Here is a 20,432-nt window from a genome sequence, read left to right on the forward strand (position 1 = left end):
TTGGTTTCTTATTTTTAGTAGGGTAAAGAATTTGAGTTCTCAATAAATTCCATTAACATACTGATTTAGTTTATGAATGTCAACTTTTAGAAACCCTTAATTTACATAGTTATTAGTATAACCTTTAGCCTCATAAAAATTATGGAATTATGTCTTTTTGTACATCATTATATTTGATATCAATTTAAATAAAGCATTATCCCATTGTTACTTCTTTTTAAAGGATTTTAAATTTGTTTTAGCCTAAACTTTTACATATCCCTTGTAAAAGTAAATAAAAATATGAGAACTAATTTGTCAGCATAGAATTTCCAGACATGCAATACAAATTTCTTTAACTTGGGACATTTGCAAGTTTAAAATAAAATGGGTCTTTCAAAAAATGGTGTTGTATGGGAGTGGTGGTTCACACCTGTAATCCTAGCACTTTGGGAGGCCGAGGCAGGTGGATCACCTGAGGTCAGGAGTTGGAGACCAGCATGGGCAACATGTAGAAACCCTGTCTCTACTAAAATACAAAAATTAGCCAGGCATGGTGGTGCATGCCTGTAATCCCTGCTACTTGGGAGGCTGAGGCAGCAGAATCGCTTGAACCTGGAAGGCGGAGGTTGCAGGGAGCCAAGATCGTGCCACTGCATGCCAGCCTGGACGACAGAGCAAGACTGTGTCTCAAAAAAAAAAAAAAAAGGTGTTATAGAATGATACAGATCAGTCAGTAATTTTAGTTTAATTCTTTATCTTTTAATATCTTTTTGCCATGTGCCTAATAAACAAAATTAAACTTTGTTCAAAATATATCCTGAATGTTTCTCAACCTTTTAAAAAAATAAGTCTTTAAAAAAGTAATCTTTGTCCCATATTGAGAGTTGGGAGGTACGTACTTCTTAGTCACTTTAGTATGTATCTTTACTCATTAGGAACCTGAGTTTCTTGACCTTTTGTTGATATTTTATATTTATAGTTAGAGGAGTTGGGGAGAAATAACATATATTCAAGAAAATAAAGGAATTAGGATATAAATAAATAGAGTAGGAGATAAAATGATAGTAAATAATCTAAGAGCTGGGTCTTGGAGGTTGGAAAATCCCAATAGATTATTAAGCAGCCATATCAATTATTAAGCAGCCATATCAAAAAATTGGAAAAATTGAACAAAAACTTTCCATTTTTGGAAAAATTGAACAAAGAATTCATCACCCAAAAGAAAGATCCAGAAATATTTCACACGTCTTTAAAACCTCAAAGAACAGATAATTCCAGTACAGAGAGTTGTAGTACTGTTCTAGAACATAGGGTAAGTATGAAAACCTTCCAGACTTTTATTTAAATTAAATACTGATAACAGATCCTGACTAATGATAATACTTAAAAAAAAAAGAAAGAAAACTATAGATTAGCTTCATTTAAATGTTCAAAATAAAATATAGCAGTGTATTATTAGTAACATACTGTGACTAAGATTTTAAGGGGGCAGTTCAGTATTATATGCTTTATTAATACAGTTATTATGTTAGTAGATCAAAGGAGAAAAAACTATCTGGTTAGTTGTCAAGACACTGATAAGAGTCAACATTGAATCTTGATTAAAACAAAACGAACAAAAGCACTTAGTTTACTTAGTATAATTAGGGAGGTGAAGAACTTCCAAAAACCAGCATCATACTTGATTTGTCATTAGAGTGAAGAACAGGTTGAAGATGTATTATCCCACTTGACAGAATTCATCATCTGTTCCAGGTAAAACATGTAACAACATAGGAATTGATAGGTCCTTAAAAGAGTACACATGCATGTACACACACACACACACACACAAACTTTCTTCAGCCCATGCACACATACACACACACACACTTCAGCCCCCGCCCCCGACACACACACATACACACACTTACTTCAGCCCAAAAGTTATAAAATACCAGATACATTCACCCTAAAGTCAGGGACAAGGCAAATATGTGTATCTCTCTGCTGTTTCTTTTGAGGGTATTAACCACTTTAAGACAGAGGGGTAGGAAGAAAGTTAGAGGCATAAGAATTGAAAAGTTTATGTGGGAGAAACAAGTCAATTAAGAAAAATTGAATTTACAAAAAATTCAGTGAGGTAGGATGTAAAATTTACAAAGTTAGTAGCTTTTCATATAAGCTTTTGATAAGTAGCTTTTCATGTGGGCAATCAGAAGATACAATAGAAAGGAACACCCATTTATTATAGCAACAGAAAGACAACATAGGAGTAAATGTAACAAGAAATGTTACAGTGGTGACCTTGTATTGCAGTGTTGTGTAGTGTAAGGTAAGATTACAGTTTTCTGTTGTTCCAAATTTATGGGAGAAAAATTTTAAAATACTTGAAGATACAAAAATGTACTTGAACAAGCAGAGAGATATTTCATGTCCTTGGATGGGATAACTCCACATCATAAAGTTTTTGGTTCTCTTCAGGTTACTTTTATGCTAAACTAATTATAAAAATATTAAGTTTTTTTCCAGAAACTAGACAAATTGACTAAAGTATATTAGGGTTGAGAGTGAGCATGTGCTGAAGATAGTTAAGAAAACTCTGAACAGGTAGAACAATTGCTGAAGGTAGAGAGGTGTTGGTTAGCCCTATAAATATTATGTCTCTATAATCAAAGCAGTGAGGTAGTGGGGCATTCATAGACCAGTGAGGTAAAATAGAATGTAAAGTATGTTATGAAGGTGGCATCACTGAGAAAAAGATGGACCTTTTTCAAATGACTGGATAATCGTTTGATAAAATTGTATAATTTTATCATACAACATCTCCAATCAAGGTCACTATTATTCACGTTTTATTTACCATAAATTAGTTTTGCCTGTTACAAAACTCATATAAATGGAATTACGTAGTATGTGTTCCTGTGTCTGGCTATTTTTGCTCTCATAACACCACAAGTTCATCCATGTTGTGTATATTAGTAGTTCATGCCTTTTTATTAATGATTAGTAGTCCATTGATGGTTTGTTTATTCATTTGGTTTCTTTCATGGATTTGACTACTGTGAATAAATATACAGTGAACGTTTCGTGTACAAGTCCCTTTTAGGACATGTGTCTTTGTTTTATTTTATTTATTATTATTGTTTTTTTGAGACAGATTCTCGCTCAGTCGCCCTGGCTGGAGTGCAGTGGCTGGATCTCTGCTCACTGCAAGCTCTGCCTCCCGGGTTCACTCCATTCTCCTGCCTGAGCCTCCTGACTAGCTGGGACTACAGGCACCCGCCACCACGCCCAACTAATTTTTTTGTATTTTTTAAATAGAGACGGGGTTTCACCATGTTAGCCAGGATGGTCGCGATCTCCTGACCTCATGATCCGCCCACCTCGGCTTCCCAAAGTGCTGGGATTACAGGCTTGAGCCACCGCGCCCTGCCGTCTTTATTTTTCACTGATACCCAAGAGTGAAACTGCTCTTGTTCACTTAGCTTTTTATGAAAACGCCAAATTGTTTCCCAAAGTCTATCTACCACTTTATGTGAAAGTACCAGTTGCTCCACATTCTCACCAGCCATTTGGTTGTGTCAGTTTTTAATTTTAGCCACTTCAGTAGGTGTGTAAGTGTGGTTTTAATTTCTATTTCCCTGATAACTAATGATGTCAAGAACTGTTTCCTGTGTTTTTTGGCCATTTTTTTTTTTTTGTGCATGGACTTTTTATTATCAAGTTCTAGTTCTTCTCTGAATTTGATGAGCTTAAGTTTTTAATTTTGGTTTTGAATTTACTTTAGTTTGATTTAATTTATAAGTTAATTAAAAATTTTCTTTTATGGTTATTGTTTTCTGTGTCCTAAGAAATCTTTGTTTACCTTAGGTTGTAAAGGTTTTCTCCAAATAAGATTTCTGATTTTAGCTTTACTTTTAGTTCTGTGATCTATCTTGAATTTATTTTTGCAAAGGATGTGAGGTAGGAATTAACTTTTTCTTTTTTTCTCCAAATGGATATCCAGTTGATGCAGCACTGTTTATTGAAAAGACCTTCCTTCCCTTCTGAATTACTTTGGCATCTTCGTCAAAAAATCAATTGACTATAAAAGTGTGGGTCTGTTTTTAGATGCTGTTTTGTTCCATTCGTTTATTTGTCTATACTTATACCAGTACAACAGTTGCATTCATTGTAACTCAGGGTTTATCAGCTTTGGCATTACTTACTCTTTGGGCCAGATAATTCTTTTTGTTGTTGGGAGCTGTGTATTCTGTGTATTGTAGAGTATTTAGCAGCATCCCTGGCCAATAGCATTCCCACCTCTCCCAATTGTAACAATCAGAAATGTCTCTTGGAGAGCAAAAATTGCCCTGTTGAGAAACATGGGTGTAGATAAGTGTGAAGTAAAAGGTAATTTAAGTTCTCTAGCTTCATTCTTCCTTTCTCAAGAGTAGTTTAGTTTTTTAGGTCCTTTATATTTCCATGTAAGTTTTAGAGTTGTCAGCTTTTATTCTTAAAAATAAGCTTGCTTGAATTTTGATTAAAATTGTGTCTGTCGAAGCTTTAGGAGTATTTGAGAAGAATTTGTGTATTAACAATACTTAGTCTTTCAACCATGAACCATAGTATCTCATACTTGTTAAAGTCGTTTTTGCTGAGTCCTCAGGATTTTCTACCTAAACAATCGTCATCAGTGAATATCCCTTTCTTTCAATCCTAATTTTGGTGATTTGTGTTCCTTTTTTTTTAATCATTAATTAATTGAATCAGGAACTTACCAGCTTTACGAATCTGAATCAAAGACCTGACTTGTCGGTTTATTAATTTTGTCTGTTGTCTGTTTCATTGATTTTTTCTGTGATTATTGCTTTCCTAATGGGTTTCTTTCTAATTTAAACATATAAAGGTATATATTTTCCTCTAAGTATGTCTTTAGCTACATCCTACAAATTTGGGTATATTCATTATTCAGTTTGAAATATTTTTAATTTTTGATGTGATTTTTTTTTTTTTTTTTTTTTAGTCCATTGGTTATTTAGAAGCAGTTTCCAAATATTTGGAGGTTATCTATTTTTTTACTGGTTTATAATTGAATTCTACTGTGGTCAGGGCACCTTCTTTTAACATTTACTGAGATTTGTTTTGTGGTGTACCACATGGTAGGTCTTGGCAAATATTTTATATATACTTGAAAGTATATTCTGCAGTTGTTGGGTAAAGTGTTTTATAAGTGTCAGGTCAAGGTATTTGATAGTGTTCAGATTTATATCTTTTCTGAATTTTTTTTTTTTTTTTTTTAGACTCCAGTCTGTCACCCAGGCTGGAGTGCAGTGGTGTGATCTGTGCTCACTGCAACCTCCACCTCCCAGATTCAAGCGATTCTCAGACTGCCTCCCAAGTAACTGTGGTTACAGGCGCACACCATCTCACTTGGCTAATTTTTGTATTTTTGTAGAGACAGGGTTTCACCATGTTGGCCAGGCTGGTCTCGAACTCCTGACCTCAAGTAATCCACCCACCTCCGCCTCCCCAAGAGCTGGTATTTTAAACATAAGCCACCATGCCTGGCCGTCCTTTCTGATTTTTTGTTTAGTTGATCTGTTGACTGTTGAGAAGGATGTTAAAACTTTCAACTATGTATTACTTTTCCCTATAGTAAAGTCAGTTTCTTTTTCTTGCATTTTAAAGCTGTATAATGTTAAAGACAAAATTGTTCTGATATTTGTTTAAACAGTAAGAAATACTTTAATCAGGACTATTGTGATAGGTGTAAAGACTATTGCAATAGGCGAAAGAGATTGGTCTCAACTTCAAATACTATGACAAGTGGAAATTTCTAGCCAAAGAGTGGAAAGAGTCAGTCAGAGATGGAACATTACACAAGAGCAAACATCAGGGTTGGTGAGATTCTCACTACAGTTGGGCTATGTAGGCCTGGCAAGGACAGGGGCCCAGGGTCAAGAACTGCTTGTTGAGAAGAGGGCTGAGACGTGGCTTAGTGAAGTTTGGTCAGAGAGTCTTTGTCAATGACTAGGTACATAAACATTTATAATAGTGGTGTCTTCTTGATGTATGACCCTTTTATGAATATAAGACATTTCTCTTTATCTCTGGTAATACACCTTACCTTGAAATATATTTTCTCTGATGTTAGTAATATAGCCACTCCCGTTTATTTCAAGATTGGTGTATGTGCATATGTATCTTCTTTATTTCTTGTTTTGTCTGTTTTTATTTTAAAATTGTTTGTTGTAGATAGCAGGTAGTTAAGTCTTGTTTTTTCTTTTATTCAGTTTTATAATTTCTGCCCTTTATTTTTTATTTTTAGTTTTTTAAATACAGCATTTAAATTTTTTATTATTTTTATTTTATTTGTTTGAGATGGAGTTTTGCTCTTGTTGCCTAGGCTAGAGTGTGGTGGCGCCATCTCAGCTAACCACAACCTGCGCCTCCCAGGTTCAAGTGATTCTCCTGCCCCAGCCTCCAGAGTAGCTGGGATTACAGGCATGTACCATGTCCAGCTAATTAATAATAACATTCTCTTTTTTTAAGGCAGGGTCTCAACCTGTCACCCAGGTGAGGGTGCAGTGGTGTGATCATGGCTCACTGCAGCCTTGACTTCCTGGGCTCCAGTGATCCTCACCTCAGCCTCCTGAGTAGCTGGGACCACAGGTGCATGCCACCACACCCAGCTAATTTTAGTATTTTTGTTAGAGACAGGGTTTCACCATGTTGCCCAGGCTGGGCAAGCTCAAGGAGCCCACTCGCCTCAGTCTCCCAGAGTGCTCGGATTACAATCGTGACTCGCCACTATTCTGCTGAAAGCTAGAACTCTTTAAATTCATTTTTTGAGTTCCTTTTAACTTCACTCCCAATTTTTATTATTTTATATTCGGTCTCTCCATGTATCTGCCATGTTTCAGTTATCACTGTCTTCATTTTGGATTAGGCTATATTTAACCTTTCAGTTTTTTTTATTTTTATCTTTTCTTTTAAATCACCAAATTGACCTGCCTACTACTTCTTTGGTCAAGCAGTCAGCAGTCATCAGTTGAGCATCTATTTGAGACACTGATCTGAGCATTTATCAAATTAAATTTTCATGATGTTACTTATGCTTGAAAAAATGCATTGGCTGCCAGTTTTATCACATTTCAAGTCATTGACCAGACATTAAGAGTTCTCTGTAATATCATAGGTGGTTATTTTTCCTATGGTGTTTTCCATCTGCCTTTTGTATAAAGCAGTTCTTTTTACTCCTAATTTGTTTCAATATGCATTCTACTTGTTTTAGTCTCTGTTCTTTACAAGAACTTGTTTCCTCATTTGAAATGCTTTTCTTTTCTCACTATCTCATGAAAGCTCAGTACCAGCCTGGCGTGGTGGCTTATGCCTGTAATCCCAGCACTTTGGAAGGCCAAGGCGGGTGGATCACTTGAGGTCAGGAGTTCGAGACCAGCCTAGTCAACATGGTGAAACCCCGTCTCTACTAAAAATACAAAAAGTAATGGGACATGTTGGTATATACTTGTAGTCCCAGCTACTTGGGAGGCTGAGGCATGAGAATCACTTGAACCTCGGAGGCTAAGGTTACAGTGAGCCAACATCACACCACTGCACTCCAGCCTGGCGACAAAGCAAGACAGTGTCTCAAAAAAAAAAAACTTAATACCTAAAAATCTGACTGTTAATGTTCAGTCTCTTACCCTGTAAATGCTGACATTGCATTTAAAAGTTTTTTTAAATTTGTTTTTAATCATGCCAGAGTAGTGAATGCCTTCATTTCATAAATAGTTATGGAGTTCCTTAGTTCATCAACCAGATGGTTAAGTTTTTGAAGATAGGGGCCATACTGTCTTTGTTATTCAATAATTTTGAATACAGTGACTTCTTAATATAGGGGTCCTTAAACCCTGGGCCATGGACCCATACAGATCCTTGGCCTGTTGGGAACTGGGCTGTACAGCAGGAGGAGAGCAGAGGGCGAGCCAGCATTACTGCCTGAGCTTTGCCTCCTGTCAGATCAGCGGTGGCATTCGATTCTCATAGGAGCACGAACCCTATTGTAAACTGTGTGTGCAAGGCATCTAGGTTGCATGCTCCTTATGAGAATCTAGTGCCTGATGATCTGAGGTCGAACAGTTTGTCCTGAAACTGCCTCCCCTGCAAATCTGTGGAAAAATTGTCTTCCATGAAATCGGTCCCTGCTGCCAAAATGGTTGGGAACTGCTGTCTTAATGAGATTCATGTACCAAACTTACCTACTAAAATCTATGGGAAGAACACAAAGGAAGGACTTTCCTCCATCCTCAAGAAATGGTTCAATTGGTGGACATAATGCAAACTTGTAACAACATCCATAATAGTAATGAGAAAAGTATATGCAAGGTGCTTTGGGAGCACAGGGTAGTGTAGTATTGACTTGTTTTCATCTTTACAACCAGTTACTTTATGCTTTTAACATTTAGACAAGTATATAAAAGGCACATTGTTTTATAAATCTCCTCAAGGAAATTCAAGGGCAGTGGAAATTCTTTTGGTTCATGAGGTGGTGTTTGGTAATAGAAAGAAAGGGTCAAAGTTGGCAAAGTGATGCAGGTTTAGTGTCCTTTATCTGAAATGCTTGTGACCAGAGTGTTTCATATTTTGTATTTTTCCAGATTTTGGAATATTTGCATATACAAAATGAGATAACTTGGGGATGGAACCCAAGTCTAAACATGAAATTAATTTATGTTTCATATATATCTCTTATACACATAGCCCGAAGGTAATTTTATATGATATTTTTAGTAATTCTGTACATTGAAGATAGGAAGGGAAAAAAATAATAATTCTCTGCACGAAACAAAGCTTTGACTGACCAGCACATGAGGTCAGGTGTGGAATTTTCCACCATGGCACTCAAAGGGTTTTGAATTTTTAGATGAGGGATGCTAAATCTATATGTTGGATGGAACTTCCATTGTAGAAAAAACTTCTTGTTAGGAGCAGACTCCTAATTCGCCTATTGATTGATTGATTAATTGAGACAGAGTCTCCTCTGGCCCAGGCTAGAGTGCAGTGGTACAATCTCGGCTCACTGCAACCTCCGCCTCCTGGGTTTAAGCAATTCTTGTGCAGCTTCCCAAGTAGTTGGGACTACGGGCACATACCAGCAATGCCCAGCTAATTTTTTTTTGTATTTTTAGTAGGCACGGGGTTTCACCATGTTGGCCAGGCTGGTCTCGAACTCCTGGCCTCAAGTGATCCACCCGCCTGGTCCTCCCGAAGTGCTGGGATTACAGGTATGAGCCACTGCATCCGGCCTTACCTTATTATTAAAAAGTTTTGTGCCAGCCATGGTGTTGTGCCCTTGTAGTCCTAGTTACTCAGGAGGCTGAAGTGGGAGGATTGCTTGAGCCCAGGAGTTCAAGGCCAGTGTGAACAACAGTGAGACCCTGTCTCTCAAAAAAATAAAAAATAAGTTTTCTGTATATTTGTCAACTAATTAGCTTTAGGGGTATGACGTGGGGTATGATACGGAAAGCAGCTTCAGTTTCATGATACTAGGATGGAAATCAATGAGAAAAACTTGGAAACCAACTGCAAAAATCTTAACCAATCACAATTTTTTATGTCATTTGTATACTATTTATGATACAGACATGGTATATACTTTATCTTGAAAGTTCTAGGCGGAAAGGTTAACATTTCTACTTATGTATTTTCCTGTTTTTGTGCTTATCTAGCTTTTTTTAAACAATTTCTTCTTTGTATTACAGTCTTGGTCCTTTAGTGAGTAAAGTGAAAGAATACCAAGTAGAGACAATTGTAGATACCCTCTGCACTAACATGCTTTCTGATAAAGAACAACTTCGAGACATTTCAAGTATTGGTCTTAAAACAGTAATTGGAGAACTTCCTCCAGCTTCCAGTGGTAAGCAAGAGCACATTTTTCTTCCTATTTCTTTTTGTGTGGAGGTATTTCTCCCCACCCTTTTTTCCCCTTCTGGCCAAGGAGGGAGGGAGGTGGCTGTCCTTACAGATGTTCATAGGAATCCCTTTGGACAATTAAGAAAATTAAAGCGTGAAGCCTTATTTTCCTTAGAAATAAATGTTAAATGAATATTTTGATTGAACTTGTATGTAATATGAATTTCAGTGAAGGATTTTTATATGTTGGAGCAAGATTTTATACTGTGTGTACCATGACTGCAGACTAGAGTTATGCCAACCTATGCAGTGAGGGAAGAGATAACCAAAATATTGCATCCTGATTAGTTCACTGTTTCCAGTATTAATTTTACTTTGCGTCAGTATTTGCTATGTAAAATGTAACACCATTCAGACATAGCTGTGGAATAGTTCAGTTTACTAGTAGCTTTAATTAAAGCTGAGCCTTTTACAGCTACTTGGTAATTAAACAAATTTAAAACTATGATTAATGTATTTGTTAACTAATTAGCTTTTGGCCTTTGATAGAAATGTGTAGGTAATATAAATTTTAGAATTGGTCTTGACTACTAAACTATTGCTAAAATTATTAGGCTAAAAGTTTTTGTCTCATCTGCAAAAGGTGAGATTATCACCTATTTCATGGGAAGATTTAGATTGGTAATAATGTAGTCTGGGGGCCGGGCGAGGTGGCTCACGCCTATAATCCCAGCACTTTGGGAGGCCAAGGCAGGTGGATCACCTGAGGTCGGGAGTTCAAGACCAGCCTGACCAACATGGAGAAACCCCATCTCTACTAAAAATACAAAATTAGCCGGGCGTGGTGGTGCATGCCTGTAATCCCAGCTACTTGGGAGGCTGAGGCAGGAGAATCACTTTAACTCAGGAGGCGGAGGTTGTGGTGAGCCGAGATGGTGCCATTGCATTCCAGCCTAGGGAACAAGAGTGAAACTCCGTGTCAAAAAAAAATAAAAAAACAAAAAAATAAATAATGTAGTCTGGGTATGTTATTTCCACTCATGTACTTGAATCATTCACTGTGCTAGTTTTCATGCTAAAGGCTGCATACGTAAACTAGTCTAAACATCAATCATATGGGAGGTCTTACTGTTCCTTCTAGTTTGTAGATGGGAGAACTGAAATTCAGAGAGATTAGGTTAATTCACCCAAAGTTGGGTGAGTAATTGGGTAAAGATTCAAATCCATTTTCTTTTAATCGAAAAAGGATGCTTTCTTCAATGTATCATACCAGTGTTATTTTACCTTTATTAAATAGTTACTTATTTCAATAAAACATTTCACCAACTCAGAAGTATGTTATTTATAATTGTATTAGCTATGTATATATTTTTTAATTTTTTTTCTCTCATTGAAATGTGTTTGCATTGAGCCAATTTCCGGTTCTTACAAGAATTTTTTTAACCATTCAGATTCTTACTTTCACAGTGACTTGTTCTTTTTCTTCTCTCATCAGTAACAACATGACCTACTGTAAGTAGTAACAATTCTGATTTATGAGTCCTGGAACGAGGTTTCTGCTTTATAATGAAGTTACGGAATCTTTGGGTTGGAAAGGACCTTATTAAAAGTTATGGCTGATTTTTTTTTTTAAAGAAGCTGCTAAGCATTGGAGCTCAGAATATATGCTTTTTAATTCACTGAAGTTTAAAAGGCTAGTCTACTAGAAAAGACTCAAATAGAGAAAACTCTCCTTGCTGCTTTTCAATCTAGGTGTGCAAGCTCTACAGCTACTACTGGCTCCATAGCTAGCATTCATACCAATGCATACAGATTATCCAGTAGATAGCATAGTTATCTATCTACTATTACTAGTTATCTATAATATCTACTATTATCCAGTAGAAAGAATCTGCTGACATCTGTATTGTTTTCTGTGTCCTTTACCCCTTCTGAAGTTGTCATCTCTAATTCTTGTTTATGTCCAGTAAGTTATTTTATTGAAAAGCAGCCTGTTTTGAAAGATGTGTTTTTCTCCCACAGATCTCCTGTGTCTCATGATCAGGTGTGGAGTTGTTAAATATTTGGTCTAATTCTTGTTTATTTCTATAAGTCATTTTATTGAAAAGCAGCCTGTTTTGAAAGATGTGTTTTTCTGCCCTGGATCTGTTGTGTCTCATGATCAAGTGTGGAGTTGTTAAATATTTGGTAACTACCATGAATATAAGAGGGAATTCAACATGCTTGCCTTGAAATTATTATTGGCTTCTTATTCATGCAGGCTCTGCATTAGCTGCTAATGTATGTAAAAAGATTACTGGACGTCTTACAAGTGCAATAGCAAAACAGGAAGATGTCTCTGTTCAGCTAGAAGCCTTGGATATTATGGCTGATATGTTGAGCAGGTAAGTGTGCCTGTTTATTTCCGTTACTCGTAATACAGATAACTACATTAATTTACTAAAAACCCTTTCTAGTAAATATAATAAAACTTGGTCAGAAATTATTCATATTTAAATGGTGGCTGTTTTATCAATTTGTGTGATTGGGAGTGAGGGGGAAATAAGCTAATTACACTAACATATAAGTATATAATATTGTATAGTAAACATTTTGTAGTTCTTTAAAGTAATTAATAAAATTTGTGATTTTAAATTTTTTTTAGCACGGTTCATGTTTTGTTTTACTCATATATTCTTGCATTCAGTGGTGTATTTAGATAAGGAGATGTGCTGGTAGTTACGGATTTTCCGGTTAAAAGAATGCTGGTAATCTTCGGTAACCATATTAATAGTGCATATTTTAGGGGAGGGAGGACCTTGGCTTTTATGTATTTGTTGCTTTTTCACTTTCCTTTGGAAGTCAGATGTTAGAACATAGACAGACCTAAGCAACTCCTAGGAGAAAATACCTTAAAGGACCTGTCAATTTCTGATTCTCATATTCATTATAGGCCACCATTATTTGTGTGTGTTTTTTGTGGCAAATTCATGTCAACTTAAAAACAATCAAGTGCCTTCAGGTGGGTGTGTGGGTGTGTGTGTATAAAGTGAGGAGCTATCATCCTGGCACTGAAAGAGCTTATACTTTACGATAGGACATAAGAACACCGATGGCTACAGGGCAGAATGGGACTAAAGACTAACTGGGAGCATAGTGTGTTTTGGGTTTTAAAATGGAAGGATTCAAGAAAATTGTTTTTATGGAAAGTGGCATTTGAATTGGGTTTTGAAGAATGGGTAGCCCTTCAATAGTTAGATGTGCCCAGGTGTAGAATACATAAGTAGTATGCGAATGGGGAAGCATATTCTAGTTTTCTAGAATAGAGAATGAATAGAAAAGCAGTAGGAAATCATTCTGATAGATTGGGGTCATGTTGAGGTGGATGAGGAATTTATGTTTAATTTGATAAACTGAAAATTCAGACTTTTTGTCCTGTGCATGATTTAATCACGAACACTGATTGTCCTGGCACAGGTTTGGGTAGTAGTGACTCATTGAACTATACATTTGAGATGATTTGGAAGAGGGGTGTTGGAACAACAGGAACAATGAAACTATATATAGAGGAAAGCCAATAAGGGAGAGGGAGAACTCAAGAGAAGGTCAGTTTTTTAGTGTTGTGAATCCCCCCCTAAAAAAGCAATACAGAAAGTCAGAATACAGAAAATCATTTAGATTTCTTTTTTTTTTTCTTTCTTGAGATGGAGTCTCACTCTGTCACCCAGGCTGGAGTGCAGTTCTGTGATCTCAGCTTACTGCAGCCTCCGCCTCCTGGGTTCAAGTGATTCTCGTGCCTCAGCTTCCTGAGTAGCTGGGATTACAGGTGCCCACCACCTCCACTGGCTAATTTTTGTATTTTTAGTAGAGGCAGGGTTTTACCATGTTGGCCAGGGTGGTCTCGAACGCCTAACCTCAAGTTATCCACCCGCCTGAGCCTCCCAAAGTGCTGGGATTATAGGCATGAGCCACCATTCCTGGCACAGAAAATCATTTAGAGATTTTGGAAGGAGAAAGTGACAAGATGATTGTGTAGTTTTGGTTGTTGTTGTTTGTGTTTGGTTTTGGTTTTGAGACAGGTTTTGGCCCAGGCTGGAGTGCATTGGCATGATCATGGCTCATTGCAGCCTCAATTTACCAGGCTCAGGTGATCCTCCCACTTCAGCCTCCTGAGCAGCTGGGACTACAGGCATGCACCACCACACGCAGCTAATTTTTGTGTTTTTTGTAGAGATGAGGTTTTGCCATGTTGCCCAGGCTGGTCTCGAACTCCTGGGGTCAAGTGATCTGCCTGCCTCAGCCTCCCAAAGTGCCGGGATTACAGGTGTGAGCCTTCACACCCAGACTTGTGGTTTTTGTTTTTGTTTTTTAATATTTTCCCAAGCCAATCAATTAGATATCCTATAATTGGGGATTTAGGTCTAGATTCCCGGAGTCAGTTTGGCAATGTAAATTTCAGTGCTGCATTCACTTAGCTCAGGTTTCAGTTGCATTGGTAGATAAAGTGATAATTTAATTTTTCTTTCACTATGAATTAGTCTCAACTAAATTTGTGTTCTGAATATTTGCATTGAGGTCAGAGGCCAGACATTTAGTAGTGGCCAGGCATCTTGAATTCATTTGTTGTTTTCTTTCTTTTTTTATTTTATTTTAAGGCAAGGAGGACTTCTTGTTAATTTCCATCCTTCAATTCTGACCTGTCTACTTCCCCAGTTGACCAGCCCTAGACTTGCAGTGAGGAAAAGAACCATTATCGCTCTTGGCCATCTGGTTATGAGCTGTGGAAATATAGTTTTTGTAGATCTTATTGAACATCTGTTGTCAGAGTTGTCCAAAAATGATTCTATGTCAACAACAAGAACCTACATACAATGTATTGCTGCTATTAGTAGGCAAGCTGGTCATAGAATAGGTAAGAAATCTTTAAAAGTTTTACAGTTTTCTTTAATTAAAAAAATTAATGCATGTTTTTAAAGAACCATTATGCTTTTCTTAGGTGAATACCTTGAGAAGATAATTCCTTTGGTGGTAAAATTTTGCAATGTAGATGATGATGAATTAAGAGAGTACTGTATTCAAGCCTTTGAATCATTTGTAAGAAGGTAAGTTTTTAAGATCTCTATTTTTTACAAAAAGTTTTTCCTTAAGAGTAGAATCATAAGGTCTACATTAGGTGTGTGAGGAGAAGCGGCCTTTTGGATTTCAGATATAACAGACAATACAGTATTTGAAACTAATGTCATCTTGCTATTATAAAATGTGGTCATCACATTTATTTTGAAAATTTTCCTTGTCATTGTTAGGACTTTATTTAAAGAATTTTGGAAAGGTATTTATAATTATTTTGGGTTTACTTTAGAAGGGAAGAAATGCCAGTGTAATAATGTAGTCTGTACTGAAAGCCCAGCAGGATAAATTATTCGTCAGAAATAAGTAGTGAATTGCCTTTTCAACAATTTCTTAGGTCACATCCATTTTGCTAGGTCAGTGATTCTCAATTTGGAAACTGATTCTAATATATTTTTTAAAAGCTTAGTAAAAGTTGTGTATTTGTGTACTAGAAGGCAATACAAGATAAGTAACATTATTTTTCCTCTTGACTAATGCAGTAGCATGGTGTCTTGAGACCTTACTGGTTGTTTTCTGCATTTATCCCTTGACACTCCTGGTTTTGAGAAGTGGCTTTTAATCATACCATATTCTGAAAATCAGAAATTGTTAGATTCATTTTTGTTCCTTTAGTTGAGAAACACAAAGTATTCTTTTATTTGCTGGCCCTGTGGGCATTTATATGTTCTGTCCTCTCATTACATCGGTAGAAGACCAAGCCTAGGTGAATATGCACTGGCATTTCCACAAATAATCCTAGTTACTGAAGAGCACATTCATCTGGGTTTGGTTTTCTAATAACATGTTGATTATATACCGATTTCTGTCTATACTGCCATACATTAACCATAACATAGTTAAAATCGGGATTAGGGGAGTTCATCTTAAAATTGATTAAATAAGTACAATTTGAAAGGTAAACCTTTTAAAATAGTAAGTCCATGGGAGAGAAAGAGCAAGAATCATTGGTGCTAGATAGTCTGGGAACTACTGTCCTATGTTATTGCTGGTAATAAAGCAAAATGTGGCAGGTAATGAATCAAGGAGTAAAATGCAGCTCTTCAAGGCAGCTTTTGTTTTTGTCTTTAGATGTCCTAAGGAAGTATATCCTCATGTTTCTACCATTATAAATATTTGTCTTAAATATCTTACCTATGATCCAAATTATAATTACGATGATGAAGATGAAGATGAAAATGCAATGGATGCTGATGGTGGTGATGATGATGATCAAGGTATTGCAAATTAAATAGAATCTTTTGAGTTTTTGTGAAAGACACTTATAGATGGAGATGATTCTTAGTCCAAATTGTACTGTTTGTTTTATTTAGTTATAATAGTGAAAAGGGAAATGATCTCAATATTTGACAACAGCAAATTAAGTTAGAGGGCATCCATGTATTGAACTGTTATGCAACACATTAAAAAATCATGTCTAAAAATCATTCATTAATGCTGTTAATAAGGTGAGTGAAAAGTATGTAGCAAAAATTGCTCACCATAGCCCAATTTTATTTCTTTAAGTATACAGAAAAAAATCTGTATATTTACAACTAGTACTATTACCACTTGTTTTCTCTTGGCTAGGAACTATGTATGATTTTTGGTTTTAAGTACTATTCAAATTTTCTACAAAGCATTTTTGTAAGGAGATAAACCAAGGTTTTAGAAAGAATTGAATCTGTAGATATACATATTTAGGGCAGCTTGGCTTGAAAGAATATTAGTTTGTTTATTCATAGTTCATGAAAAATTCTAAATACTGTTCGAGGCCCCATTTAACATTCATTAATAGCTTACAACATTTCTGAGGCTCCTAAGATTGATGTAATCACACGATGATTTATGATATTTACTCTGGAAAGTAGTAGCAGCACTTCAAGGACATAGGGGTTGCTCATGTCAGTTGTTTCTGTTTGTATTGGAAGAATCATAATAACAAATATTTAAGTTGGTAAATTACTAGGTAAACAGGTTGGTGGATTTTTTGTTATTTTTGAGAATACTTTTTAGTTTGATTCTTTGAATGAATTTACATAACAGCTTTCCTGTCAAGTCAGTAATTTCACCCATCTTTAAAAAACAAGTACCAAAAGAGTTTCTTAACACCATATACTCCTCTAGCAGCTGCTGCCTAGTTTCTCTCCTCCACAACAGAGCTCCTTAAAAGAATGCAGTTCCATTTTCTTTTTTCCATTCTCTCTTGAATCCACTCCTCCAGTGATGGATGAGATTGCAAATGTTTGACTCTGCCTATCGTATTACTCAGTCTCGGCAACATTTCTTTATTTAGCTTCTGGGATACCATTCTAGCCTGGATGTAGTCCTATCGTTGTGATTACTCCAGTCTTCGATGCTGTTTCTTCTTCTTCACCCTGACCACTGTACTTAGAGTATCCCAAGGCTCAGTCCTTGAACTTAACCTGTTATACTGTTGATTTTTTTGTTGATCTCATCTAGTCTCCTGGCTTTAATATCAATATGCTGGCAACCCACATCCTATCTTTAATCCAGATCTCACTTGTGAATCCAGATTCATATGCAACTGCTTAATTAATATTGCTGCTTGGATATCTAAAATATCTTTTCCCTGCCCCTTCCCCATCTCCCACCTAACCTGTTCTTCTTTAGCCTTTTCCATCTCAGAATGGTACCTCTATTCTTCTTAGTTGATCAGGCCAAAAACCTTGCAGTCATACCTGATTCCTTTTTCACACATCCCTCAGCTAGTCTTCCACCTCAGAACTATCTTTCATTTTATTGTTTTTATTTTGTTTATCACACTTAGTAACTTTCTGACATACTGTAATTGATGGTCTCCTACCTATTAGAATATAAGTTTCATGAAGGCTAGATGTTTTAATCTCTTGATTGACTGCTTTATTCCAGTGCCTAGGACAGTACTTGACACACAGGCAATCAATAAATGGGTTGTATTAATGAAGGGAAACTTTAGCTTATATTTTAATATGAATATCTTTTGAAGAAAGCAGTAGCAATGTATATTCCAGGTTTTGAATTTTGTTTTTTTGTGTGCTGTATAACAAACTAGGTACTTCACCTGCTTTATCACTTAGTATGAATTATACCCATTAAATGACTTTTCTACCATGGTGTTTTTGTGATTTATAAAATCAACGTAATTTTAGTGAATAAGGACATTTGTTAATTTTTTATAATCTTGTTTTTAATAAAGCTTATATTTCTGGGAGGCAATTGCCATAGTGTATTGACATGGAAAAAATTTTATGTGCTCTTAACTTGATAGTGTATTTTGGCAGTATCTTTTAACTTTATTTGAATAGATATTGGTAAATAAGCAAACGTCTTGCATTTAGCAGTATTTGGTTGTATTTTCCTGTAATGTGCTAAGGTGAATTTTAAGCTTTTGAGTTGGAAAATTTTATTATTTTGTTGTATACTGTAGAATCTTCTAAGGCCTAGCTGGCTACATTTGACTGTCAAACTAAGCTAATTGGAATAAAAGCCAGTAAAAAGTTACTACTCCGCTCTATTATTTCAAGGCTATGTATAGTCTTATCTAAGAATAAAGAAATTATTGTGAGATAATTTTAGACTATCATGATAACTGCTAATATTTCTGCCACCTTTCTGACTTCATATTACCCAACTAATTAAACCTGATGGTGTTAGAAAGAAAGATTTTCTGGAGATTTCACACACATGTTATCCATCAAGTATAGATAAGTGAGATACAATTCTTAGTGCTTTTGCTTTGAATGTTTAAGGTTTAGCATTAGGGGAAAAAATGGTCCTCTGTTAAGTGTGCAGCATTTTCTTGGTATAATTAAGCAAAAATGGTTTTGTTAAAGTACATTAAGACAAAATTGTGAAAGGTTTAGAATATACATATTTGTTCCTCACAGCTTATCAACAAGTTGAGTGAAAAGCCTTGTAGTCACAAAGCTGATGTCAACCTTCTTTTTATTCCCAGCAAATTAGTTCTACAGTGTTTTGGGATTGGTAACCATTCTTTTTATCACCTACTCTATTACCACAAATCCATTTCATGGTTTGTCTTATAAAGTCCCTGATTGTTTGCTTGATTTTTCCTATGCTGTTAAGTAAGTTCTTTGAATTTTGTTTCAAAGGCTGGGAAATTTATGACTATAAATATTTATATTCTAAAGAAGTTGAATGTGTTAATTGATGATTTTAAAGGGTTAAAATAAGCAGCAGTTCATTACAAAGTAAATGAGAAAATGTTTAACTAATTAAAAATACCATTATGTTTGTTTTTTAAGTTTAATTTATGTGCAGATTTACAGAAATAACAAGCTCTTTGTTCAAGTTCTAGTTCTGTTGAAACCTACCTGTTGCTGTATATGTTACCGGAAAGTTAGATTAACTGATTTGGTTAAGAATATCAATTGATTTTCTGTTTTAAATGATATACTTCTCTTGTCATTAATAGCCTGTTTACATTAAAACTTACCCTTAGGGAGTGATGATGAATACAGTGATGATGATGACATGAGTTGGAAAGTGAGACGTGCAGCTGCGAAGTGCTTGGATGCTGTAGTTAGCACAAGGCATGAAATGCTTCCAGAATTCTACAAGACCGTCTCTCCTGCACTAATATCCAGATTTAAAGAGCGTGAAGAGAATGTAAAGGCAGATGTTTTTCACGCATACCTTTCTCTTTTGAAGCAAACTCGTCCTGTACAAAGTTGGCTATGTGACCCTGATGCAATGGAGCAGGGAGAAACACCTTTAACAATGCTTCAGAGTCAGGTGGGTTTTAAAGTAAAGTTTAGAAAATCATGATAGTAAATGCAATGCTTTTAAAATTGTCTTTATATGGAAAGGTGAGTTCCAGAATATCTATAGAGAAGCAGAAAGTTCTAGGATATGTTTATATAGTTAATGCATGTTCATATTATGTTAGTTGTAAACTATTCTAATTGAATTATTCTTGGCTTTACATGATAAACAATATTTAAATAATTTTAAGATTCAGTAAAGTAGTCTTTATCTTTGATGTTAATAGAGAAGTCTTAGAGCTGTGGAGTCATACTACTTGCGATCACATAACTGACTTCATTTCTAATTTAGGTGTGTGATCTTGGGCAAGTTATTTAGTCATTTTATTAAACCTCACTTTTCTTATTTGTAATAAGAACGTACTTAGAAATATCTACCTGTGGTTGTGAGAGCTGGGTGATCTGTGTAGAGCATTCAGTGTAGTGCCTACTACATATATGCTTGATATATGCCAGTACTTACTAATAAAATACACATTTTTTCACTTGAGGGCATTTGTTTTCTAAGATCCTAAACATTAGAGCTATTATATGCTCCCATTTATTGAATATTTATTACATACCAGGCATTCTCCTATCTTATATGTAATCTCTACAGCAGCCCTATGGGATGCACAAATAGTAGGTCAATTTTTATAGATTACAAAACAGATATTGCCAGGGATTAAACCAGTGGAGAGGACGGGACACACATACTGT

At 35.7% G+C, this 20,432-nt stretch overlaps 1 protein-coding gene across 4 annotated transcripts in view; it reads left to right on the forward strand.

Moving 5' to 3' along the window:
* Positions 1 to 20,432, forward strand: part of CAND1 (cullin associated and neddylation dissociated 1) — a 50,596-nt gene that overhangs the window by 13,554 nt on the left and 16,610 nt on the right. For 3 of the 4 annotated variants that reach the window (NM_001329674.2, NM_001329675.2, NM_018448.5), the window contains 6 exons: positions 9,711 to 9,865; positions 12,122 to 12,245; positions 14,496 to 14,752; positions 14,837 to 14,942; positions 16,039 to 16,184; positions 19,412 to 19,704. In NM_001329674.2, coding sequence (NP_001316603.1) covers positions 9,711 to 9,865; positions 12,122 to 12,245; positions 14,496 to 14,752; positions 14,837 to 14,942; positions 16,039 to 16,184; positions 19,412 to 19,704 — 1,081 coding nt within the window. Of the gene's footprint in view, positions 1 to 8,606; positions 8,717 to 9,710; positions 9,866 to 12,121; positions 12,246 to 14,495; positions 14,753 to 14,836; positions 14,943 to 16,038; positions 16,185 to 19,411; positions 19,705 to 20,432 lie in introns of all 4 variants that reach the window. The other variant, NM_001329676.2, reaches the window with a different exon arrangement.

Source organism: Homo sapiens, chromosome 12 (genome assembly GCF_000001405.40).
Source record: "Homo sapiens chromosome 12, GRCh38.p14 Primary Assembly".
Taxonomy (NCBI): Eukaryota; Metazoa; Chordata; class Mammalia; order Primates; family Hominidae; genus Homo; species Homo sapiens.